Genomic DNA, 25,270 nt, shown 5'->3' with positions numbered 1-25,270 from the left:
CTGGACCCACAGGTCACTGAGTCCATCTGAGCCCCCTGGCTCTCAGGCAATTTGGAAAACCTGAAAGGCAGGAGACCTGGGCGTTCCCCCTGTGCACTCCAGCCACTGAATCAGAGCTGCTCCTTAGAGGCCTGAGGCTGGACCTGCTGCGGGGCCTCTGGCCTCATCACCTAGGCACAGGGTTCCCTCCAGCCTCCTTTCCTCACCTTAACTCCAGCATTCCAGCCCCTCCTCTCCAAATTAGCTTTCTCATCTGGAAACTGTAGGTGTTCAGACTAGTCAGTGCTTTCAAAATGTACTCACTCAGCAAACCACTGGGGCAGCCCCACGCCCCCAGAGGCGAGGGAACACTTTTGGGGAGATGCCGAGCTCCGGCTCTCATCTCTTTCTAGGAGGTAATCCTTCCAGTCTCTTGGGTGCACAGGAAGGTCCAGCACTTCCCAATCAGAGCCCCCAAGACCCAGTCAGTCTTCTGCTGCCACTAAAGTCTGAGAACCACTGAGGCCTGGTCTCCATGGCTTCTGAAGGCTCTCCCAGTTCAGATACAACGGCTGTTGATGGACTAATTAGTTTCCATGGCCCATTCGATTTTTCTCCTCCCTGAAGAAGGATTTCCTCTTCCTCCTGATTCTTCCCACAGTTCTCCAGCCAATGGATCCTCAGTCCCTTGGAATTTGTCTTGTATCTGTGTCTGTCTGTCCTGACATGCCAGGGCAGGAGCTCGCAGACTAATGGAAGCCCGCCCGTGGTCACAGCATCTACCTCCCCACCCCAGAACACACACACACCAGCGCATACACACTCAGCACAGTCACTGGCCTTTATTTACTGCCACAGCCCTTGAAAGTGGTGTTGGGAGATTGCAATTTTGAAGTCTTTCCTGACATTCCACCAAAGGCTCGTCTTTTGCAACTAATGCTGCACACAAACACATAGCAACCTTCACACAGTATGCACTTCAGTAACACTCCACTGCAACCCGAGGTAGTGTGCCATTTTATAAAAGGAGCTGCTGCAGCTTATGAAAGAAATAGTGCTGTGTCCTGGAGCTGAGCTGTGACATGAGGAGCCAGGATTCCAGCCTTGGCGCCCATCTCCACCACACAGCGCTTGGCTCACCCAGTGGGGAGGACTCAGGAGTCCTGGCAGAGTCAACACATTCTTCCATGGGAGAGGGGCACGGTGAGCGTGGCTGCGGCAGGGGGAGGGCTCTGGACCAGAAACCACCCACTCCCCGCAGTGACCCTCTCTCTGTTCATGAAACAGTGTGACACACCTGCCCAGCACTTGACTCTTGAGCATGCACTTGTCCCCATTACCCCATGTGTTGCCACATTTTTTCCAGATAGCAACAGCAGCAGGTACTGGAGAAGGTCTCCAGCTTTAGGCCCCACCTGAGCCCCCCTGGCCTGGACTCCAGATGTCATTCCTATCAGAGAGCTCTCCCCGAGGCCGCGCCCTCTGTCTGTGGGTTTGGAGCCGACAGCAGAGTCTGGTACCCACACGGTGGGTTATTCATACCCCATGCCGGGACTCCACACCCCCAAGACACACACACTCACCATGAGATGCTGGAAGAGCCAAGAACGCATTATATTGGTGGCATGCTTGGGCAAGACTCCTCGTTTGTTCTTGGACTTCTTATCCTCATTGTCCAGGAGGGAGGTGAGGTCAAGGTTAACCTTCAGGGCACGTGGAGAGAAAATCAGCATCAGCAGCCTGTGAGGGCAGCGGCTGGGGACCTGTTGCCATAGCGACGGCAGGCTTGGCTGCCAGCCCCTTTCCCGGCTCATTCCTAGGGCCCTGGGGAGGTCACCTTTCCCTCTCAGCCCATGCCAGCCCCTCAGAGAGTGGAGGTGAGGCTTGGGTGATGGGAGAAGGGAAGAAGGACAAGGAGGAAGAGATGGGGAAGGGGGGGAGAGAGAGAGAGAGAGAGAGAGAGAGAGAGAGAGAGAGAGAGAGAGAAAGACAGAGGAAACAGGGCCATGCAGAGAGAACAGGAGAAGATATGAATTTGCCATAAGCTGTCAAGTAGTTATCAGCATTTCTGTGGTACTTTACAGTTTGCAAAGCACTTTCCTATCCATCGCTGTGGTTCATTCTCACAGCAGCCCTGTAGGTTGGCTAGGCTGTGTGCAGTTGCTATTAATCCCCCTTTTATCAATAAGAAGTCTGAGGCTCAGAGAGGTTAGGTGACTTATCAGAGATCCCAGAGTTAATGTCAGATCCCAGACTCTGACTTCCGATCTTTCTACTCTTCCTTTGTGTGTGCACTCTCTACCACTGAGGGACACAGCGGCTCAGTCTGCAGACAGGAATAGGAAGTGCAGGATCCTTTGATGTAACCCCAGGAGGGAGGCAGCAAAATCCCAGGAGTTGATAAAACCTTTCCAAGACCCAGCTTCTTATCTGTAAAGTAGGGGTAATGATACCTCTTAGAGGATGATGAGGATTCAATGAGTCACCCGTGTAAAGTGCCTGGCAGATAAGAAGCGATTACAGGTGCCCTAGCCCACACCATGCACATGTGCACACACCTACACACACTCACCTGTGTGTTCTGGATCTGGATGGCTCCCTGGGGGATTGCTTGGGTGACCACCTGACCCTGGGAGGTTACCATGGTAACCGGTTGGTATAAGGCTCCACCTGAGGAGACAACCAGTTTTGGGGTCCCCTGCCATGGGAGTGGGTAGGAGCGAGGGCAAGCAGGGTTCCCAGTTCATTTGGCACTCATGTGTAAAGACCCTCTACTTGGAGCCCTTGGGTAGCGAGCTATGGCTTTCTGCTTTATGGGTGGGTGGGGGATGGTGTCTAGAGCCTAGGACAGAGCCTCTGGTGGGAGGTGCTTCGGGGAAGGGACAACAGCCTTACTTGGTCCTCTCAGGGGCTCATGAGATTTTGACCCAAATTTGTTCTAAACCATCACAATTGGGTCTTGGCGCTAACCGTCTATAAACTTACAGAAAACTTTAGTCAAGAAACTGAGCTGGGAGCCCCTCCCTCGGTGGAGGACAACCCCCACCCCTGGAACCGCCTCGGGGCCACCCTTTCTCCTCCCAGGGAATTCCCACAATCACCCTTCCCAGTCTTTGCACCGACCTGACACAACTTGTGAGTTGACGGTTGTCATGGCGATGTTGCCCTGCTGGAGCGCTGAGGCTGGGACCACAATCCCCTGGGGGTTATTGGAGACTCCGGACATGGAATTGGGGGAATTCTGCAGGAGGTCCTGGCAGTGAGGGAGGCGTGGTTTGTGACAATGACACTGAGAGCTTAGACCCTACAGCCCCAGAGTCCTCTTCCGTCCTTTCCCCTTCCTGCCTGCCCCCCTCCCTCCTTCTAGCTCCTCCCCAGACCCAGGTCCAGAAGGCAACTCTCTTGGTTTCCTAGAAAGGGTGAATAAGAAGGCTCAATTAAAAAAAACAAAAACAAAAAGAGTCACCCATTTAACCATTCCATTGCCCTGAAAACCTAAGGCACAAATTATCTGATAACCCCCATGGTCTCCTCCTTGGCTGTACTTTGAAATCTCCAGTAATGATGCTTGGGTTCCAATCTCAGAGAGTCTCATTTAATTGTTCAGGAGTGTGTCCTGGGCTCTGGATTTTTTCTTGATCAGATCCATCATATTCAATGGGCTCCGGGTTATTAAAAGCTCCCCAGGTGATTCCACTGTCAGCCGGGTCTGAGAAAATGGCTTCACCTGGTCGGCACCTGCTCATCCTTCAGCGACGCTTGTCTCCTGATGCTTTCCCGTCCCCCGGCTGCTCTCCACACACCTCCATCACAGGCCTGTCACACTAGGCTGCACACACAGAGCAGCCTCCAGCTCTCACCTTTGTATCCTTAGCACCTAGCTCAGGATACTAAAATACATGTTAAATAAGCAAATGAAAGCCGCCCTAGCCTTCCCATAACCTGTCTTCTAAGGGTGTCTCATATGAGCCTCAGCCACCTTCGGCACATGGCATCGATCCTGTTCTCTTCCTCAGGCTGCCCACAGGATTCCACTGGAAACAGACTCTCCTCTCCCCACACTGCCGACCAGCACGGAACCTTTGCCGCTTTTCTTTGCGTTAGCCCAGGCAGGTAAGACATGTTTTCCTGGCCCTCTGCTCTCCTCACCATTCCTAGTTAACAGCTGGGTAAAGAAGTCCTTGGACTTGCTGTGGAGCCCTCCCTGCTTTCTGGGGAGCCTGCACTGGGAGGCTGGGTGCTTGGAGAGAATTTGTGAGGAAGGAATAGGATGTGGGAGAGGTTAGGGTCTCTAGGTTCGGAGAAGAAAAAAGGCAGCGAGTGAAGTGTGGGAGCCTCAGGAGGCCTGCCTGAGTCTCTTAGCTCCTCCTAGCCACGGTTCCTCATCTGAAGACGGGGCTTGAACCAGTTAACAGGTCCAATGGCCATTTCGGCGACATTCCCATGCTCAAATGCTGGAATCGTAAGGCGTGAACTGCAAGGATTTAGAGACAGGTAAATGGTCAAGGAAATAGACAAAATGGGGCAAAAAAGAAGGCCCCAGCTTCCCGGTTTTTGTTTTAGGACTTGAAGAAGCTTGGGTCTTCAGCCTCCAGGGCAAGTCTAGGGTTTTGAGCCCGGAAATCTGTGTTTGGAGGAAACCTCGAGCCAGTGACTGCCTACCTGTAGCAACGAAGGGAAAGTGTTACAGCCCGGGGGACAGCCATGGCGAATCTCCTCCCAGACCCTGACAACACAGAACCTGGCAGAGCCTGTCAGGAAGTGGAAGTCGGCACTGATTTATACATCTCACTCGATTCAGCTGATTAAATCCCCCTTGGCGTCTCCTCCAGAGCTGCCTTTTTTTACTCTCCTGGGTTGTCTCTGGCCCAAGAGCTGGAGGAGTATTTCCTATAAATAAGCAGCGCCAGGAGGAGAGGAGCCAAGCACGCCCTCCTCCCACCCACCTGCCGCACGGGCCTCCTGGTGTGGCTCCTCCGGGTGGGTGGGGCGATGGAGGCCTTGCTTCTATTCTGAGCTCACCTCTGCTGCTGTGACCTTGGGGAACAGAGGGGGCAGCTCTTGCCTTGGCTTCCCCTTCCTGGGGCCCCGTGGGAGCCGCCTAGCCCGTGAAGCTTATACTTTGAGCAGAGCTCTTGGCCTTTCTGTTCCTGCAGTCGCAGTCTAAAATGGAGTCTGCCATGCAGAAGCCTAGAAACTGGAAGAGCCCCTGGAAGCCACACATTTCCCCTCCCTGAAGTACAAATAAGGCACTGAGGTTTAGAGATGCCTGGGACTTCCCAAGGCCACACAGCCCGTTAGCAGCCAGAGGACTAGAACACAGATCTCCTTCACCCACAAATGCCCCCTACACCGGTTCTGGGCTGCAAATGCTCCTTGAATCCTGCAGGTCAACCAATCATCATTGCAGGCAAGGTGAACAGATAAAAACAACTAAAACTCAGAAGTCCAGAAGCAGCGTGGGCACTGGAGGAAAGGCAATCTCGTCACCACCCTTCTGTGGGCCTCATCTCCTTATGTATACAGTGCATGTGACACCGGGACCCTCAACGCCTGAGTTTTCAGCGATGAGACTGCTCTGAGTTTGAGTTCTCCTTGTTCCAACATCCCAGCCTACCATTCTCATGGTGTGTAAACCGTGCTGATATTATATTTGAAGCTGAAGCAAACTCGGAAGGTAAATTTACTTTTTTTTTTGTTTGTTTTTTGAGACAGGGTAGAGAGTCTTGCTCTGTTGCCCAGGCTTGTCTCAAACTTCTGGGGTCATGTAATCCTCCCACCTGAGCCTCCTGAGTCATGGGATTACAGGCGTGAGCCACCACACCAGGCTTGAAGGTAAATTTAATGGGGGAGTGGGTACCTCCATGCCATTCACCTTAAAACCAGTGGAAGTGACTTCTCAATCCCTTGTTTGGAATCATCCATGCTAGCCTGTGCCTCTTCTGGTAGGGATATTTGAGAATTTCAAACATAAAAGGTTGTCCTAGACTTTCTTCACCCCCAAAAAAGTACCCAACAAGGTTAGAAAAATACAAGCAAAGTCAGTAAAATAAATACAAGATGTGTCCCTTGGGATTCAACCAACACACATTGTTTCCTAGCCAAAGGCAGAGGGTGAGCCACCACCTGGATGCTTCGTCTGCTTACTCAGACCCTGGCTGCTTCTCCACCTTGTGGCTTGGATACCCTCCATGCCAATTTACCCAATTTGGGTAACTAAGGGCAATTTATGCATTGGATCAGAGCCTTCTCTTTCCTACCCTTCTCTCCCTTCCCTGGGTCTTTGGCTGGAAGGTGCTGAGAGGCAGCCAGATTCTATCAGTGAAGGAATAAAATAAAAACCTTCAGAGATAGAGTCCAAGGGCAGGGCTGGGACTGGCAACGTTTTAGGTGGGGCAGGGAAGAGGAAGCAAAATTTTGGCATCCCGGAGGTCTGGGGAAATGATATTCATCCCTTACATCTGTAAACATGAGCTGCTTCACAAACCTGCCTTGAGTGTGCTTTTTTTTTTTTTTTTTTTTTTTTTTTTTAGACATAGATTCTCAGGGCCACTGGGTCAAGACCCTCACCCATCATCTAGCAATCTATATTTCTAAAAACTTCCTTGTGATGGTCCCAAAGATCGTACACGCTGAGTATGAGAGAGCTTTCACCACGCTGTTCCATTTTAATGTCACCATCACCCCATGGGGTCAGCAGGACTGTCCTATTTGCCTGAAGAGAGATTGAGGTCCAGAGAGGATGGAAGTGACTTCCCAGAGTCAAATAACTGTGCCTCCAGCCTAAGGCCTCTGGCTCTGAGTGTAGGACGAGTGCTCACAGAGAGAGGATATGTGCTTCGGGGTCAGACAGGCTCCAATGCAAGCACAGTGCCTGGCACATTTAGCCATCCAATAATTTATTTCCCACTTCCCTTGGCTAAGGTCACTCAACTAGGGAGTCGTACAGTTGGGATTTAAAAACCTGTCCTAGAAGCCTTCAAGCCACTTGAGTTCTTTACGTAGCAATGGAAGGGGTTCAGCTGGGGTTGCGCACGCAGGCAGAGTTGTGCAAACCTGGCTACATGTCTCCCTGTCTGAGATGTTCCTGGGCAATGGTCGAGTCCCAGGATCCTAAGCATCGTCTCTGACTAGCCCCACAACTCCACTTGGCTGCGATTTCCAGTCCAGGCTTAGTCTCTAGAGCCGTGGAATGGAGACAAGGAGGGTCTGACTCTCTTTTCTGAGGAAGGAACTTCCAGAGCAGCGGTGGAAACCCCGTGGGGAGCACATGTTGGCTAAGCACACAGTATTATTAGCTTTTTGACAGCTTCCCCTCAGGGCTTATCAGACTCCAAACCCAGGTAGATGCCACTGTGTCTAGACACAGAGTTGCTCCCCTCTAGGCTCCTTAGCACCCAGATGGAAGTGAGAAGAGTGTTTGGTACGGTTCTAGTTACTTTTTTCAGCACCCAGAGCCTCACATCCCTGCTGGAATTATCCAGGAACCTGGGGATGACAGCTGGTTATCCAGCCCAAGAATTCTGTTCGTTTTGTTCCACTAGGAAGACAGCCGTGGTGTCCCCAAGCCTCTGGAAACTGCCTGAGGCCTGGGAATCAGATGAAAACCAACACGCCGGGCTCCATGGGCACCCCTGGAAGCGGCCCCACTCCTGTTCCTTGTGTGCTGTTGATTGAGACTCAGAAGCAGGAGCCTCTCAGGAGGGGCAGAGCAAGGCAGGGCTTTGGGTTTGGAATGGCAGAGAACTGGTGCCTCCCGAGCACCATCCTCTGGGCCAGCTGCAACACCCTGGAACTGCGACTGCCACTCATTCTTCACAGACCTCAGTGGTCCCCAGGGGAGTTTTACTCCAAATTGCATTTGGAACAGCAGAAAGATGACTTGTTCCAAAGGAAGGCCTTACTAAGAAACGATGAGAAGCTGTGGAATGACTTTTGGAAGTGGGGGGTGCAGGGGCCCACATGAATGCACAGCGGTCTCACGTCAGCCCAGGAAGAGCTGTCTGTCCCTGTGAGCCACCGTGCTTCATTTTTAATAGGGAAAGGGCTTGAACTGCCCTGGGAAACTCAAGGAAGACTTCATTTCCACTCAAGGAAGGAATTCCTGGAAGAAACCAGAATGGGACAAAGACATGAAGGAGTGAAGGAGATAAATGACAGAAAAGTTTCTGTTTAAGCTGTTTTGAAATAGGTGGAATTTTTATCTTACTTGGATGCCTGTGAAACAGGGGAATGAACGGGATGGCCTGGCAAAGATCCTTCCAGCTGAGGACTGTAAAAGAGCCCATGCCATTTCCTAAGGATTGTGTGGGAGGGTGGGTGACGGTGAGTCGGTGGCCGGAGTGGGGTGCAGTGCGGAGCCAGCCCCAGCCACCTGCCATCCTCCCCCCGGCCACTAGAGGTCTCTGCTGATCCACCGGCTCAGACCACACTCACCAAAGCCTCCCAGAAGGCGCGTGCTGGCGGCTCCCCTGCCTGGGCTCGGGGCGGGTGGGGGTCGGTTCTGAATGTCTCCTTTCTGCTGGAAAGCTTGTCCTGACCTCTCCAGGGCACAGCCGCGGCCCGTCCTCTGGACTCTTCAAAGCCTCCCATCTGCCTTACATACTGGACACAACAGAATGGTTCTCTCTAATGCAGGCGTCGTCTTTCCCTAGCTTGGTGGCAGGCTTTTTGAGGGAAAGAGGGGTCTTTCTCTGAATTCCCCGAAACTGCTTAGCGCAATGTTAAGTGCATGGTACATGCGAGATACATGTGTGGTCTGACTTTGGCCTAAGGCTGTGGGTGTATTCCTGTGTGTGGTGGTGTGTGTGTGTTTGTGTGTGTGTGATGTGTGTGTTTGTGTGTGTGCCCGCGCAAATGTGCCTTAGGAGGGTGGAGAGGTTGTCCCTGTCCCCAGACACCCCTTCCCGGCAGCATCCCTCCGTTCTGGCAGAGCCAGGGCCCTGTCTTAGACCAAGAAAAGCCAGATTCCCAAACTCGGGAAAGCCAAGCACATGTAAACAAGCCACCTAATCCTGTTCTTGTTCCACTCCTGTTGGGGGCCTTGGTCTCAAGGGAAAGGCAGTTCTGGCCTGTGGGGACAAGCAGCAGCTGCTGCTCTTAAGGAACATTCCTTCTCAGGCGGGAGAAGCGCTCAGGTTTCACTAGCCTGGCGGCAAAGGCCACCCTCTGGTCTCTGGGCTCCACGGCTGCAGGGCTGGGGGTGAGGAACCGGCAGAAGAGACAGCTTTAATGCCTGTGACAGGCAGTGTGGCTCATTTTATTCCACTTCAGTCTAGGGATGCCCCCTGTCCATCTAAGTAGTGATCTTTCCAGGGTAGATTGCCCCCTACCCCAGCCCCATCCAGTCTTCTCCCTGGTCCTGTCCTCAGGATGCTTAGCCACTGGGCAGAACCTCTAGGGTCCTGGCTGAGGTGATGGCCCCCTACCCCTTCCGCCCCCTGCCAATCTGGAAAATCCAAAATTCCTTAGAGGTCAATAGGCAAGTGCCACCCTTCTCAGGTGGGGATGCATTGATTAGCCCCCTTCCTATTCTGCTGGGGAGGCGCAGAGCTGCAGAGTCGCATCTGGCAGCTGGGCCTAGCATCTCAGAATGTCCTCAACTTTGTACCTCTCATTTCCCTACTTCCAGTCTACTAGCAAATCCAAATTCTTGCTTCGTAGCAATTGGCTTCTTCCTCTGTAGTCCCTACCCCACTGACCAATAGCTAGGTAGGGTCATCACTCTCCACCCAGGTCCCAGGACCCCTGATTCTTCTCCCCATGTGTCACAAAAACATATCCCCATGTAGCAAGAAGAACATGGGCTCTGGAGTAGCCCATCCCGGACTCCAGCACTTGCTAGGTGTGTGACTTTGAGCCAGGGTCTTCACTTCTCTCAGCTTCTCTTTTCTTGGATGTAAAATGGAGAAAATCATGTGTACCTTGCAGCCTGTCATGAAGAGTAAATTAGATAATCTGTGGAAAGCACCTAGTACACACCATGTTTGAGACAGAGGGGAGCTCAATAAATGTTCACCGTCTCCCCTCCTTCTGCCAGCTCTTCTTGGACCAATACAAGATGTGGCTGCTCAATTGATTTGTCTCCAGCGTGTCTCCAGCCCTGACCCTGTTGCCTACATTCTCCACTACCTTTAAAGTCTTTAGCAGTCGGCCACCACTATTAGCCCCAAAACAGAACTCCCACACATTTGGCTTCAAGGTACTCCATCATTACACTTGGAGACCTGGGACTGTGTCGCATCCATTTTTTATATCCCCAGAACTCAGTAGGCTCCAGAGGTGCCTGAATGGATGCAGGATGCGTGAATGAATGAGCCCCCTTCACCCCATCTCCTCTCTAGGGATTCTGATTGGCTCTCTCTGTTTCTCGCCTTCTTTCAGACTTCTTGCTACATTGGAAACACTCACCTTTATAAAGGTTGCCAAATAGGCTACCAACTCTCACCAAGCCTGCCTGAAATGCCACCTCCCAGAGGAAGCCCTCCCAAGGCCAATGAATCTGTAACTTCTCCAATCACAATGGGCAAAATCCTCCTGTTGTCCTCTCCACTCTGTACTGAGGTTTGTTTATCCTATTGTGGAGCAGGAACAAACTGGCCATGAAGGTGTGAGGGCTGGGTCTGGGACTTGGTCCCCCTCTGAGGAAGGATGAAGGATGCTGAGTTGAGACTGGGGCAACCTCAAGCCACACATGTGGATCACCCAATCCAGAATCCCTGCCTGCAGCTCCTCTCCCCATCTCTTTGGCTGCTCCTTTCCTCTGTACTCTTGACCCTGAGCATTTCACGGCTGACATGATTTATCTAGATCCTCATTGTGACTCATGGCTCTCTCTCCCTGAGACTGGGAGCTCCTCTTGGACAATGGCTTGTGTCTGTTCTCACAGGACCTAGCACAGAACATACAGTGAGTGCCCCCCAAACGCTTGGCAATTGAATGAGAACCATGATTCAATCCAATTTGCCTGGAATAGAGCTGAGGCTTAAATCTCCACAGAGAAAAAAGGATGAATTTCAGGTCAAACTAATACTTGAGTGAGGTGTCTCTCTAGTGGAATGGTTCCATTTGCGCCCTCTAGGAAGGACAGGAGAACCCAGAGTAGGGTCTAGAACCAGTCTCCTTACAGAGGATCCTGCCCCCACAAGAAGCCTGGGCTCTGAGGAGTAGGAAGCCTGGGTGTCATTGGGTGCCTGCAGCACAGGATGGGTTCCTAGGGAGGGGGAAAATCTAGCTGTGGCCCAGGTCTTTGAAAGTCTGCTTTAGTCCCCTGCTTGGTAGAACAGTCTCCCTTACTTCCCATCTCCACTTTGCCCAGCAGAGAAGACTCACACAGAGAAATCGAAGGCCGAGCAGGAAAACGCTCAACCCATCGATCTGGATGGAGGACACGGCATAGCATCTGGGAGTGGGGATACCAAGTTGAAAACAAAAATGTCTCCCGCTTTGCAACACAAGGCTGGATGATTAGCACACAGGGAAAACCATGAGCCAGCAGTTTGCAACAAAGCTGGCAGGCGGCTGGAATGTTGATCCAGAGGATCATGTTCCAGAGGGGAGACACCCCTCCCCAGGCCAGGCTGGTGCTCAGGCTATTTCAGGCCGGGGGGATTAAGGGTGAACCATGACGAATGCATGTGCCCGCGTGTGCACACACATACACACACACACACACACACACACTCACAAGCTCCTTTTCTCTCTCTCATACAGGCTCCTGTGTCTTGAACCCAAGACCTGCCTCCTGCACTGAAAGTCTCGGTCCCCGATTCTTAGCAGCCCTGGGCCTCTCCTTCCTGGGAGAGCCCATGCAAGCCCGGCCCCTACCTTAGTGCAATAATGACAGGGGCCTGTCCTGGGAAGGCTTAAGAGACGTGTGAGTGTGCAAGTGGGCCGAGGGATGGCCAGAGAAGGCAGGAGAGCAGGTTAGGAAGCTCCTGCCATAGCCTATGTGTAATTACCGTATTTACCCCTGAAGCCTGAGCAAAGCAGGCAGTGGCAGTCAGAGAAAATGCAGGGGCAAGTTTGAGTAATACAACAGGAGCAGCACATAGCACATCCTCCTGACTTTCCCGCCTCCTCGTACCCTGGCTGCGCACTGAGCCACATGCATTGTCCTTTCACTTGCTGTCACTCTTGCTGCCGTTCCTCTCTCCGTCTGTCCTTCTGCCCCGTCGTTCTCAGTATCGTCTCCCTTTTCCTGGGTTTGTGTGCCTCCCTGTCTCTCTCTCTTGCTCTTTTCCTCCAATTCTTCAGCCTGTCTCTGCTTCCCTCCTGAATGTTGACCCTGCATATTTGGCTTTCTTTCCCTTTATTTTTCTTCCTATTTCTCCTTTCCTCCTTTGGCTTCCCCTTGCCCCTGCCCCCCACCCAACTTTCTTTCTCTCATTCCATTATTTCTTTCAATAAATACTTCCCGGCCATCTTTCTTGCACAAGACCTTGTGGTAGCCACTGCTGGGGTCACAGGGAGAGTACACTAGGACTCTGAAGGGATGAGTCTATTTCAAGAGACTATCAGCAGGCAGAGGCTGGAAATGGCTGTTTTTGGCCTATAATAAGGTGATTTGGTGATTTCAAACATGTAAAATACTGTCTCTGCTCAAAAAGTGTTATCTAGGATAGGAAAATGAGATGAACACAGGGATCTATAATATAAAGTCACAGTGACTTTTGCCATATCGATGGCTCAGCAAGCTCCACCAGTTAGTGGAGTGCAGGAAGCGTCCATTCTGGATGGGGCATCAGGGAGTCCTCCTGGGTGAGCAGCCTTGTTCCTACCCTTGGGGAAGAAGCTGGGTTTGGTTGTGCAGAGATGATGGGGTTGTGGGGGAGGTGTCACCCGAACAGACAGGCATGGAGTGATGGTTACAGCACCTTGAACAGTCAGATTGGCCCACCCAGGAAGGCTGAAGCCAGACCTAGGAGGGCCTTGAATGTCAGGTGGGCAGATGTGAAAGCCCTCCCTTCCACCCCCAGGGGCATGGCAAGCAGGGTTTCTGAGCAGGCGAATGACATGAACAAAGTTAGAAAGATGAATCCAGCAGCAGAAGCTTAAGAGATGCATGGGTGTGCAGGTGGGCTGAGGGATGGCCAGGAGAGCAGGTTAGGAAGCTCCTGTCATAGCCTATGTGTAATCACCGTATTTACCCCCGAAGCCAGAACAAAGCAGGTGGTGGCAGTCAGAGAAAATGCAGGGACAAGTTTGAGTAATACCAAGTAGGAATACCTCACTAGTGTCTTTTCTCTTTCTCAGTGCCTCGCTTGCATCACCCCCTCCCCCACACCCACCACGCAATTGTCTGATTCCTCTTTCCCAGCTGATCAATGGCCTTTCTGCCGTGGGTACCCCAGGGCCAGCCTCACTTCCAGGCAGAGATCTGATGCTTCCAGTGATAGGAATCAAAATTCTTCTGTCTTTCCTCAAAGCTCAGAAGGCTGAGTGCCGGGATTCTCCAGGGGGACTGATTTTTGCAGGTGGCAGCATCTCTGAGAACTTAACCATCCAGAGTCCGCGTTATCCTTTTCTGCAAACCCCACTTCTCCAGTGACCGACTGGTTTCTGCAGACCAACTTGTCAGTCTCAGACCTCCAACCCTGAGGGGGCTGAGGTGGCTGCTAAGCCCTCTGCCCCTCCTTCCTTCCCCCACTACCCTGGTGCACCCCCAGCTCCAGAGCTCGAGGTGGAGTTGGAGGGCCCAGGAGGGGAAATCCAGTGCCTCTCCAAGGACCTGATTATTTCCAAAGACTTGTGCTAATTTTCTGATATGATCCTCACATCTCTGTGAGGCACTAAATCCTCATTACTTTTCCTGACCGATGCATTCTAATTAGATCAACACTTAAAAAAAATTCACAATAGCCACAGGATGGCTTTCCATCTCATTAACTCCTCACTTATTATTTTCATGAAAATTACTGATAAAAATGTGCATCTCCATTTGGCGAGGCCTCACAGCCTCCTCAGCTCCTATCTTGCATCTCTCCCATCACCGGGACTGCGCAGCGTCACCATGGTAACCCACAATAATAGAAACTAATAAATTACAAACGAGATGCTCGTTGAGCAATTATTGTCCTCTTTTATGCAAGTTTCTTGCTAATTTTGATCATAAGGGAAAGTACAATAAGACTCTGAAGGAATGAGTCTATTTCAAGAGAATATTAGCAGGCAGAAGCCCGGGCGGGTGTTTTTAGATCTGTAATAAAGTGACTTGGTGATTTCAAGCGAGAGGAAGAGGAAGTAAACTTCTTGCCCTATGTCCTGGGCAGTACTCACTACGGAGTCTCACAAAGAGCCCACTGGGGTGGGTTGGATGTGATACCGAGTGTATCTTTTGTGCTTGTTGTCAAAATGTGCAAAGCAAGGCTGGCCTTCTAGAAGTCAGCCTGTCCCCTCCCCTGACTCCACCAATCTGGGGAGATAGAGTACATGGGTGGTTCCTTAGGGGTCTAGGGACAAAAACGGCACAGCCTTTCTTTGGCACTACTTCCAGCACCTCTCGGCACTCACTCCTAGAAAGTTTACCTGCATCCCCATGCCTGATTGTTTAATGAGAAGAGGCTACAGAGGACTCCTTGGGGACCCTCCAGGTGTCTTCCAGGACTCAGGAGCTCAGTGGAAGGGGAACAAAGTCTCAAGCCTGTGGCTTATGCAGATGTCTGTGAGTTGGGCGGGAAGGTATTGCCAGGCAGCTTTCTCGGTTTGTAGGTTTGGGGAAAATATCCTGCCCTGGAGGGGAAACCCCATCTTGCCCAAAGCGTGTAGTCAGCATTTCTGCATTTCCCAGGTCTCAGGAAGGAGGTGGCAGGGGAACCTGGGAACAGGGTGGTTTGAGGTGACCTTGACCATGGCCCTGAACCTTAGGGGGACAGAGATGCCAGAGTAGCGTGAGTGCCTGGAGAATGATTAGGGAGCAGCAGGCCCATGGGAAGCTGGCTTCACCCATTAGGTGGGCAGGATTCAGGGAATGACTGCTTTCCCCAAATGCCCTTTCCCAGAAATGCAGATGGCTCAGCAAGCCGCAGCCTCTTAAGAAGCCTGTCCCAGCTCATCCTCCAGGAGAGCTTTCCTTCTCCTTAGCTCTGGTGCTCATTCTGGGGGATACCTTGGGCCAGGAAGCCAGGAATGATTTTGGACATTGTCCCTCTCCGATCTGGTCATTTTCAAGGGAATACTAATGCCCTGGCAGGGCAGACTGTGTGTAAAAAAGGGATGGGATGGCCTAATGGATATGAAGAAGAGTGCATCAGAGGAGGGCCCTCATGGCAAAGGAACCCAGTGGGTCTAACCCAGTGAAGGTCACCAGGGGACCTTCCTCCACGCGTGGCTCCAGAGCTGGGCTTAGGAGCCTGGCTTAAGAGATGGGACCCAGCTCTGGGTGTTACCTGTGAGTGAAGGTTGATGGAGGGCTGGTTGGGGGAGTAGGGCCCCCCTAGATCATTCCTGAGCAGGTTGTCGCTGTGCATCTTGGTTTTGAGGCAGGTGATGTAACGGTTACAAAAGTCCTTGCAGAGTTCATTGACTTTCTCCAGCTCCAGCAGGTGGATTCTCAGGACCTGGATTGCCTTCACCATCTGTGGAGAGGGAGGAGAGGTGAGCCCAGGTGTTTGCATCCCATTTCCCTCACTGCCTGGACCCCCAGCCCCCACCACCCCAGGGGAGGGGAGCCCACCCCCTGCCGTAGCTCATGCTTCCTACACTTGATCTTGGCCAAAAGGCCCAGAAGTGGTAGGCGGTGCCTTCTCATCCCCATGACTTCAGTTCTAATGATGGCTCTCTGCTAATTATTCCTTTGCTCTGAGCCCTCTGTTATCACAGCTGTTCTTGAGGCAGTTGTGGTATTCTGAGAACAGCATTGGCCTTAGCGATGGGAGGCCAGGTCCAAGCCCCCGGCCTGTCATTTACTATCTGTGTGAGCTTGGGCAAGTTGCTCAAGCTCTCTGTGCCTTAGTGGCTAACAAATGGGGATAATTAGATTCTCCCTGACAACTTTACAGGTTTGTTGTGAGTATTGTATGAGGGCGTATACATGGTAGCACATTGTGAGGTGTGAAGGACCAGGCAAGCCTGAGGAAGATGGAGATCAGAATTTCTTATAAGTGCCTCTAGAGCTCAGGGACTGTCTATTCTTAAACAAGCATTCTGAGTGCCTCATGGGATACCGGTTACCTTGTGGACGCTCTGTGGATACTTGCTGATGGACTGAATAATCCAGCATGACTTAGCTGGGCACCAGCTACCTCACTGTCTGCTGTGGCCTTTTCCATGCCCTTTGGATTGCTGTACGGGAGCCTGCTGCCTCTTCAAATGGACATTCCTAACCTTTTCGTGGCAAGAAGCTATTTTGCAATTGAAGCTTTGCTCTTTACTGCTGTTATTATCATAAAAAGAAAATACTATGGAAGGTATGGAAAGCAGGGTGAAAAAAACCTGTCTTCGATCCAATCGCCTTAAAGAATGATTTTTTCCTACACCCATATATTTTAACATAGTTTCAATAACCTTGTGCATGCAATTTTGTTTTCTGTTTTTTCCCTCTAGTTTAGCAAATCTATTTTTCTAAGTGCCAGAATTGTTTTCTCTATCCTCTCTTCTAGACTATGAGCTTTGAGAAGGCAGGGATGATGTCTAATTTGCTCACCATGTTATCTTCAGCACGAACACATATGGATATGGAGTAAACATTTGCTGAATGGGTGAAAGTTATTGAGTAAACATATTTTTAAATGTTGCATATTATTTCATGTGTGTGCCATACTTAACCAGTCTCCTATTGTTAGGTATTTAGATTACTTCCAATTTTTCAATTTTATAAAAAATGTTACAGTGAATATTTTCTAAGCTTATAGCTTTTTTTTTTTTTTTTTAAAAGTTTCTGCATTATTCTTTAGGATGAATTCCCAGAAGTGACAGGAAAAAAAGCTATGAACGTTCTTGTGGATTATGATAAATATTGCCAAATTGCTTTTCAACAGGGGGTTGTTCAAATGGTGCTAGAATAATTAGACATCCACATGCAAAAAAACTGAATCTTGATTTAAACCTCATACCTTAGATGAGATTAACTCAAAATGGATCAAAGACATAAATGTAAGACAGAAAACTATAAACCTCTTAAAAAAAAACAGGAAAAAATCTTCAGGATCTAGGGTGAGGCAAAGAGATCTTAGAGTTGACACCAAAAGCATGATCCAGGCTGGGCACAGTGGCTCACGCCTGTAATCCCAGCACTTTGGGACATCGAGGCAGGAGGATCACTTGAGGTCAGGAGTTTGAGACCAGCCTGGCCAACATGGTGAAACCCCATATCTACTAAAATTACAAAAATTAGCCAGTGGTGGTTGTGCATGCCTGAAGTCCCAGCTACTTGGGAGGCTGAGGCAGGAGAATCGCTTGAACCCAGGAGGTGGACGTTACAGTGAGCCGAGATGGAGCCACTGCACTCCAGCTTGGGCGACAGAGCGCAACTCCATCTAAAAAAAAAAAAAAAAAAAGATGATCCAGTGAGGAACTGGACGCTGTCAAAATTAAAAATGTTTACTCTTCAAAAGACCCTGTGAAGAAGAGGAAAAGACTACATACTGGAGGAGAATATTTGCAAACCAAGTACCTGACAAAGGACTTGTATCTAGGATATATAAAGAACTCTCAAAACAAAACAGTAAAATAACAAGCAACCCAATTAGAACATGGTCATAAGACATGATTAGACATTTCACTGAAGAGGATATACAGATGGCAAATAAGCACAAGAGAAGATATTCAATGTCATTAGTCACTAGGGAAATGCAAATTAAAACCACAATGAGATATCACTACACACCTATTGGTATGGTTAAAATAAAAGAAATAAATATGACAACACCAAATGCTGGTGAGGAACTGGAGACTAGAACACTCAGACATTGCTGTTAAGAGTGTAAAATGGTACAGCCACTCTGGAAAACAGTATGACAATTTCTTACAAAACTAAATATGTGCGTACCATATGACCCAGCAATTGTACTCTTGGGCATTTATCCCAGAGAAATAAAAACATATGTTCTTACAAAAACCTGTATACAAATTGTTCAAAGCAGCTTTACTTCTAATAGTCAAAAATCGGAAACAACCCAAATGTACTTCAATGGGTGAATGGATAAAGAAACTGTAATTCATCCATATCATGGAATATAACTCAGCAATAAAAAAGAATGAGCTATTGATATGCCCAACAATGTGGATAGATTGCAAGGGAATTTTCCTGAGAGACAAAAGCCAGTCTCAAAGGATTATATACTATATGATGCCATTTACAAAACGTTTTTGAAATGACAAAATTATAGAGATGGAAGACAGAAAGACAGATTAGTGGTTGACAGCGGTAGAGTGGAGGAGGGAGGGAGGAACTGTTCTGTACTTTGCTATAACAATGTTTATGTGGATCTAAGTATATGATAAAATTGCACAGAACTAATTACATGTACACACACACACACACACACACACGAGGGCACGTAAAACTGGTGAAATCTGAATACAGTTGGTGGATTGTTCCTGGCTGTGAAATTGTGCTATGGTTATACAAGATGTGAATCAGGAGCTCTCTGTATGAGTTCTTATAACTGCATGTGAATCTACATTTATATCAAAATTAAATGTAACCGCTAGGAGCGGGTGATGCTTATTGCTTTTCCAGATCCATTTATGTTGACGCAAGCAATATATGGGATCTCTTTTTAGTCCCACCCTCCTAGCTTTTGGCTAGCTCCTGGATGCCTAGAGGAGAGTTTGGACAATATAAAAAGGGATGGAAACAAGGAAGGAAATCTCTCCCAGAGAATTGTGACTGTGAGGTGTGTGTAGAGAAGTGTGGCTTGAAGCCAGCATTACACCCTTCTCTGAGCCTCATTGGCATTTCAAGTGGGGAGCCCACATTCCCTGGGCTGGGCTTGTGGCTTGTCTGATGAGCAGGGATTGTGCTCAACTAATTAAGGGTTTTTGGAGTACTAAATTAGACCAAGTGTCACTCAAAGACAGAAAGCAGCGATTGTGTGTCGTCATGCAGGGCTCAGTCACAAGGTCTCCTCCTAAGAAGTACCACCTCTGTGGGGCTGAGACTGAGGGAGACTGAGCCATCCTAAGCAAAGAGGAAAATTGTGACTTTAGAATGGATCATTTGGACCCCAAAGTGGAGTTAAGTACTTAATAAAGATTTGTTCTTGCCTAATGTTCTACTTGACTTTGGCCACGAACATCTTGGTCTATGTCTCTCAGTGTAATGAGCACAGGATAAGGTACTTAACACATATGCGTTGCTGGATTGTTAATAATACCCAAACGTTTCTTATTCAGACTGTGTCTCAGGCACTGTGTTAAGCCCATTCCAGGCCTTATTTATTCCACACAACCATCTCATTAAGTAGGTACCATTATTGCTCATATTTTGCATTTGAAGAAAATAAAATCCAAAAATATTACGTTTCCTTGCTTAGAGTCACACAACTGGTGAGCGATATGAAGCCAGGTTGCCCCACCCCCCACCCGTGTGCCTTGTCTTTCAATATGGACTCTCAGGATTATGTAGGTAGAGGAAGTGGTAGTATAAAGGGTGCGTGGTTTGGGAGAAAGTGGCTCAGTGACAGCAAGTACGGGGTTCTAGGAAGCCAAGTAGCTTTTGAGACATCAAAGTTTAGGATTTCCAGAACCCTTCCTGGTAATGTGCCTTTTCTCAGCTGCTCTGATCTCCCATCTCTCACTCCTGGCACAGCCCCCCGGGGTCCAAACACCTCACCAACACAGGTGCCTGCTTCTCCATGTGCACACGGAGAGGGCTGGACTGTCAGGTCCCTTACGTTTTCTGACTCTCTGAACATTACCAGGACTTCTGCCCTCAATTCACGCCTGATGGTGTTAGAATGAACCCCACACGGTGACCTGGACCAGCCTCTAGGTGGCTGCACAGTCCAAACTCATCAGGACACAGGCTGCATCTTCTCCTCCAGCCTCTCCCGGTCACTGGGCGATGACCTTGTTGCCTCGGACCTTCTCCATATTCTCTCAGTCTGCTGATTAGAAGCTTTTCCTTATATTCAATCAAAATCTCTCCCGCCTTAATGTAAAGTGCCTTCTGTAGGCACCAAGAACATCGAGGAACTTCTAGGACCTCTATCAACACAACTTCTTTTTAATTTAATTTTATTCATTCAACAAGTATTGAGTCTTACTATATGCCACATATTGGACCAGGCATCTGACTTGAACAAGTTGTTCAATTAACTTTCTCTTCTCTCTTTTTTTTTTTTTTTTTGAGACGAGTCTTGCTCTGTCGCCCAGGCTGGAGTGCAGTGGCGCGATCTCGACTCACTGCAAGCTCCACCTCCTGGTTCACGCCATTCTCCTGCCTCAGCCTCCCAAGCAGCTGGGACCACGCCCGCCACCACGCCGGGCTAATTTTTTTTTTTATGTATTTTTAGTAGAGACAGGGTTTCACTGTGTTTCCCAGGATAGTCTCGATCTCCTGACCTCATGATCCGCCCACCTTGGCCTCCCAAAGTGCTGGGATTACAGGCGTGAGCCACCGCGCCCGGCCAAACTTTCTCTTTTCTAGACAAAAACGATCGTCATTCCTTAAACCTTTCTTCTCTTTCCCTTCCCCGTTCCTTCTTTCCTCCCTCCTTTCTTTCCTTTTTTCCTTCTTTCTCACACACATACATATATTCACACATACACAGAGAAAAGTGCACTTACCTATTCATTTATTTTAAATATATAACCAATTTATACTTACTTTATAAAATCAGAAAATACAGGTAAGTAAAACAAAAGTAAAATATACTCAGAAGAGCTTTGCTCAAATAAAATACACGCACAGCATGTTTAAACCAGGTCTGGTGCACAGTGACCAAAAGTGGACTTATCCTTTGGTCTAATAAAGTGCAGCTGAAGGATTACTTTTTTATGGGCTAATGGAATTGGTTGAAAGATTTAAGGAGGTAGAGTAAATCATAATGGTATTCTGAGGCAATGAATATGTAGGACCTGTTCAATATTAGAAAGGTAGGCAACACTATCAATGTTAGAGGGCTGCCTGGCAGGGCAGGAACACTGTGGGTTCATTGTCAGGCAGCCTGGATTTGAGTCCGAGCCCGCTCTCTGTTAATTGGGTGCCGTTGGGCAAATTCCATGATTTCTCTGAGCCTCAGTCTCTTTACGTGTAAAATGGGGATAATGTTCATCTCTAACTCACAAGATTTGAAAGGGGCTAAAGGAGATAATGATGTAAACATGCTTTATAAACCACAGTAAACCAAATGCATGCAAGTTGTAAAAATAATCTCTTCTAATAATGTCTGATATCCCATTGGCTTTTCTACTGCTATTCTACGTCCAGCCAGTGAAAAAATAGTAACTCCAAGGGTCTTTTTTGCTCCCATATTTGTGTTTAGTAAATCATCCTCTATCCTGTGTTTACAATTTTGGATTTTTGTCTCCAAGTTAGAAAATTCTGATTTATTAAACTATTTTTCTAAATGATCGGGGTCATGTGAAAATTTATTCCAAATCTTCTAGGGCAATAACAATGCCACTTAATTCAACATCACCGCCAAATGTGGTGAATGCATCCTTAATTCCTCTCCCCAGGTGTTGCTCCATCTTTCAGCTTCTTTCCCTCCCTTCTCTTTCAAAATAATGATTCAGCCCTCTTTTTCTAAGAAGTCTGCATCAAAAAAGCAAAACAAATGCAACCTCACATTTTAGTCTCCTACCACTGTACACAAGTCTCACAGTCCCAGGAAAGTACACAAAAATGGGGTTTCTTATTTTCTATAAAGCCATGTCGTCTGATGTCCCACACTGATTATTTTCTGCCTTGATATTTTGAACAAGTAGTTTGAACTTTATCTGCAAAATTTAGGATGACAATAATACCTACACTTCAGAGTTGTTGTGAAAACTGAATAAGATCATGTATGCAAATGTGTTGGGCATATAGTAGCCATTCAGGAAATGTCAATTCCTCATACCACTGTGGTATTATGGTCCTCCCTCCACCATCAAATGCCTCTCTCAGTGTGCCTCTCTTGTAGGATCGTGGCCTTTCCACTTGATAATAATAATTTCTTGCCTTTCAAAACGTTTGTATACACAGCACTTTACAATTTACAAAGTGCTTTCTCTCCATTATCTCATTTGAGTCTCGTCACCACAGGGACACAGGCAATATTATCTCTCCTAGAGATAAGGAAATTGAGGCTCAGAGATTACGGAACCCATTCAGCTCCATGCAGGAATTAGGGAGGCATCTTTGTTTTGCAGGCACATTCCTTTCACCCTCTCCTTCCTTTTTGCAAATTGGGAAGCTGGAACTATTCTCCCTCACGGACAGAAGAAGGAATTTATAAACACACATTCCTTAACGTGCTATGATATTTCCTGTGGGTCACTGTGCCTGCCAATGCTCAAATCTAATCAGGAATTTTTCCAGACCAGGCCAGCTTGGCCTGACCATTTGGAAGTGTGGGGTCACTAGAACAAAAAATGGGACATGAAAAAAAGGTGAATACCAGTGATTGGAGAACTGCCTGATGATTCGGGGACAAAACAAATATTTTGTGGAAACCATCACGCAAGACAAGTCAAATCATTTTGGAGTCAATAACCTGGCACTCTCCTTCTGATGGCCTCAGAATTTGGGAAAGAAGTGGTACCGAGGAAGGAGGGTGGGCTTCAGGAGTTAGAGCCACTTGGTTCAAATCCCAGCTATGTAATTTATTGGCTATAGGGTTCTTAGTCCTTGATTTCTTCCTCTGTCAAATGGGGATAATAACAACTACTTCATAGGGGTCTTGTGAGAATTAAACAGCAAAGAAGACACTCGGGGCTTTAGGTCTTGGGTGTCTTGGGTCTTCCACCTACGGTGAGACACTGAAGAATTTACATAATCTCTAAGCTGTAATTTCCTCACCTGGAAAATAAGATAATAATAGTGACTCCTCAGAGTTGCACTGTGGGTTAAATAAGATGTAGCTAGAAGAAAATGAGAAACAAGACCTGGCCCAGAGAAAGATGGAAGAAGATATTAGCTCCAGAGCTGCTTTGGGTGTGGTCACTGGAGCGCGAGTCTTGCACTGTATTTGATTCCTGCCTGGGCCATGGACCAGCTGCATGATGGTGACTGCATCTCTTGCCTCAATTGCCTCCTCTTAAAATGGGGATAATAGTAACATGTGCCTTGTGGGTTTAGAAAGAGGATTAAATAAGATAATATATGTAAAACAGTTGGAACGGTACCCGGCACCTGGTAAGTGCTCTATAAATGTTCATTATTACTAGCGTTGAGGATTCCCATTTCCTTTCCCTTTCCTGGTGTCTGTGGGATTTTCTGCTCCTGTCTAGGCAAAGAGAGCCCGGACTGAAGGCCAAAGTGGCTAAGTCTCTGAATGCCGCTGGCCTGAGGCCTCTGGGCCCAGAGCTCTGGCCTGATTCCTTCAGGTGCCTCCTTATCCACAGCCTCCGCCTCTGGCCCTGCCTCTTCAGAGTGGGCCCAGGGGCCTGGGGGTCCCTATTTTAGAGCTGGCTTTGCGGTCAGGCAGCCGTAATCTGTCCCTCGAGCCACACCAGAGTCTCATTAAAATGTACCCCATAAATGTTAAAAAATTTACACATAAAAAAATTCCATGCATGAAACTGAAACCGTACGTTTTACAGCCACGGTTTGAAATCTTGCATAATATATAAAACCTTGGCCCTGCACCGGGGGCCCGTAAATCAGATTTTATAAAACAAAAAGCTTTTACCTTTCAAAGGGTTTTGGGGAACTTGCAAATTTTACAAACTTTACCAACTGCCAGTCAGAGGCTGGTGGGCCCAAGGAGGGGATCTGTGGGCCCAGCTTAGGAATCGTCCTGGTGAGCCCCTGCGGCTATGGGAATTGGAGTGGAGGGAGTGAAGGATGAAGCCGGCCTTTCCCAGGGGAGCCAGCCAGGGGCATTGCAGCTTGACCACCATGAGGGTGGAAAGCCACCCGCGTCCCCTGGAAATGGGGAGGTAGAGTGTGGGTGTACGGAAAGAGATATCGGGGGCACTTTTATTTGCAAGTGAAGGAGGAGTGGTGGTGTGATGTTGTGGGCAGAGCGGAGGATCAGGAGTCAGCTGACCTGGGTTCTGGTCCTGGCAAGTCACTTCCTTCTGTGAACTTATATCCCAGGCTATAAAAGGAGATAGGGCGTGCTTCTCCCTAGGGTTTTTTGTTTGTTTGTTTGTTTGTTTTTGAAATGGAGTCTTACTTTGCTGCCCAGGCTGGAGTGCAGTGGCATGATCTCGGCTCACTGCAACCTCTGCCTACTGGGCTTAAGCAATTCTCATGCCTCAGCCTCCTGAGGAGTTGTGATTACAGACATGTACCACCACACCTGGCTAATTTTTGTATCTTTAGTAGAGACGAGGTTTCGCCATGTTGGCCAGGCTGGTCTCGAACTCCTAGCCTCATGTGATCTGCCCGCCTTGGACTCCCAAAGTGCTGGGATTACAGGCATGAGCCACGGTTCCCGGCCCTCCCTAGGGCTTTTACCTCTAATGGTTGATGAATCTGTTTCTTCTCTGGTAGGGGTGCTGTGGGAGCAGGTGGCTAATGGAGGGAGGGAGGTTCCCACTGAAATCTACAATCTGGGAACCTCTCTGATCTTCGGATCAGCCCTGGGTGATTGTGGGACACAGGGGAGTGTGGTACAGGGCAACTTGCTTGGGGGACAGGGGGGCGGCCAGCTGGGGATGGGGAGGATTTGAGTTCAAATGCGGGGCTTGTTGGGGCTGGAGACCACAGGCTTACAGGGCCTGGGAGAAAGCAGGGCCCAGCTGGGGCTTGAGGACCCTGGGGGAGAGAGGAACTTCCAAGGGACAAAGTTTTTGGGGACCCAAGTGCCCTCCTGACAATCCCTATGAAAGTCAATATTCAAGGGCAAAGGAAAGCTGCCCTGACACACATATATATAAGAAATAAATCTCTCAATTATCTCAGCTCATTTGCTTGGGGTCTCTCATTTTATGTCCCTGCTCGGCTGCGCAGTATATCTGTCCGGATAAAGAGTTACAGTCCGTTGGGCTACGTGTGCGGGGTTGTAAAAAATACAGATGCCAAATTAACTGGCTGTGGCACTTGGCAGCTGATTGAGCTGATAATGACGCGATCTGACCTTTTTCTAATTTCTAATTATGTGCATCTTGGCTGTGCTGGCTACATGATTCTTGTTCTAATGATGGCTCCGGTGGTTGGCCTCTTTACCTCCCACTTCCTGACACAGGACCAGGG

At 48.8% G+C, this 25,270-nt stretch overlaps 1 protein-coding gene across 28 annotated transcripts in view, besides 1 other annotated feature; it reads right to left on the bottom strand.

Moving 5' to 3' along the window:
* Positions 1-25,270, bottom strand: part of PKNOX2 (PBX/knotted 1 homeobox 2) — a 268,639-nt gene that overhangs the window by 19,962 nt on the left and 223,407 nt on the right. For 15 of the 28 annotated variants that reach the window (NR_168083.1, NR_168076.1, NR_168084.1 and 12 more), the window contains 4 exons: positions 15,366-15,554; positions 3,103-3,232; positions 2,552-2,649; positions 1,563-1,682 (listed from right to left, as the gene is read on the bottom strand). Coding sequence is in view for 19 of the 28 variants with exons in the window: in NM_001382333.1 (NP_001369262.1) it covers positions 1,563-1,682; positions 2,552-2,649; positions 3,103-3,232; positions 15,366-15,554 (537 nt within the window). In the remaining 9 variants the exon portion in view is untranslated. Of the gene's footprint in view, positions 1-1,562; positions 1,683-2,551; positions 2,650-3,102; positions 3,233-15,365; positions 15,555-17,331; positions 17,454-25,270 lie in introns of all 28 variants that reach the window. The other 13 variants (NR_168077.1, NM_001382334.1, NM_001382336.1 and 10 more) reach the window with 8 other exon arrangements.
* Positions 3,475-4,674: an enhancer, noted in NCBI's record as "CDK7 strongly-dependent group 2 enhancer chr11:125278650-125279849 (GRCh37/hg19 assembly coordinates)". NCBI's record gives its function as "activates an origin of replication core promoter dependent on BRD2, BRD4, P300/CBP, MED14 and CDK7 cofactors, with strong dependence on CDK7, by STARR-seq in HCT116 cells {active_cell/tissue: HCT116}" and the evidence as "EXISTENCE:reporter gene assay evidence [ECO:0000049][PMID:35650434]".

Source organism: Homo sapiens, chromosome 11, assembly GCF_000001405.40.
Source record: "Homo sapiens chromosome 11, GRCh38.p14 Primary Assembly".
Lineage (NCBI taxonomy): Eukaryota > Metazoa > Chordata > Mammalia > Primates > Hominidae > Homo > Homo sapiens.
Note: the sequence above shows the minus strand (reverse complement) of the source record. Positions and strands in the feature narration are given on the sequence as shown.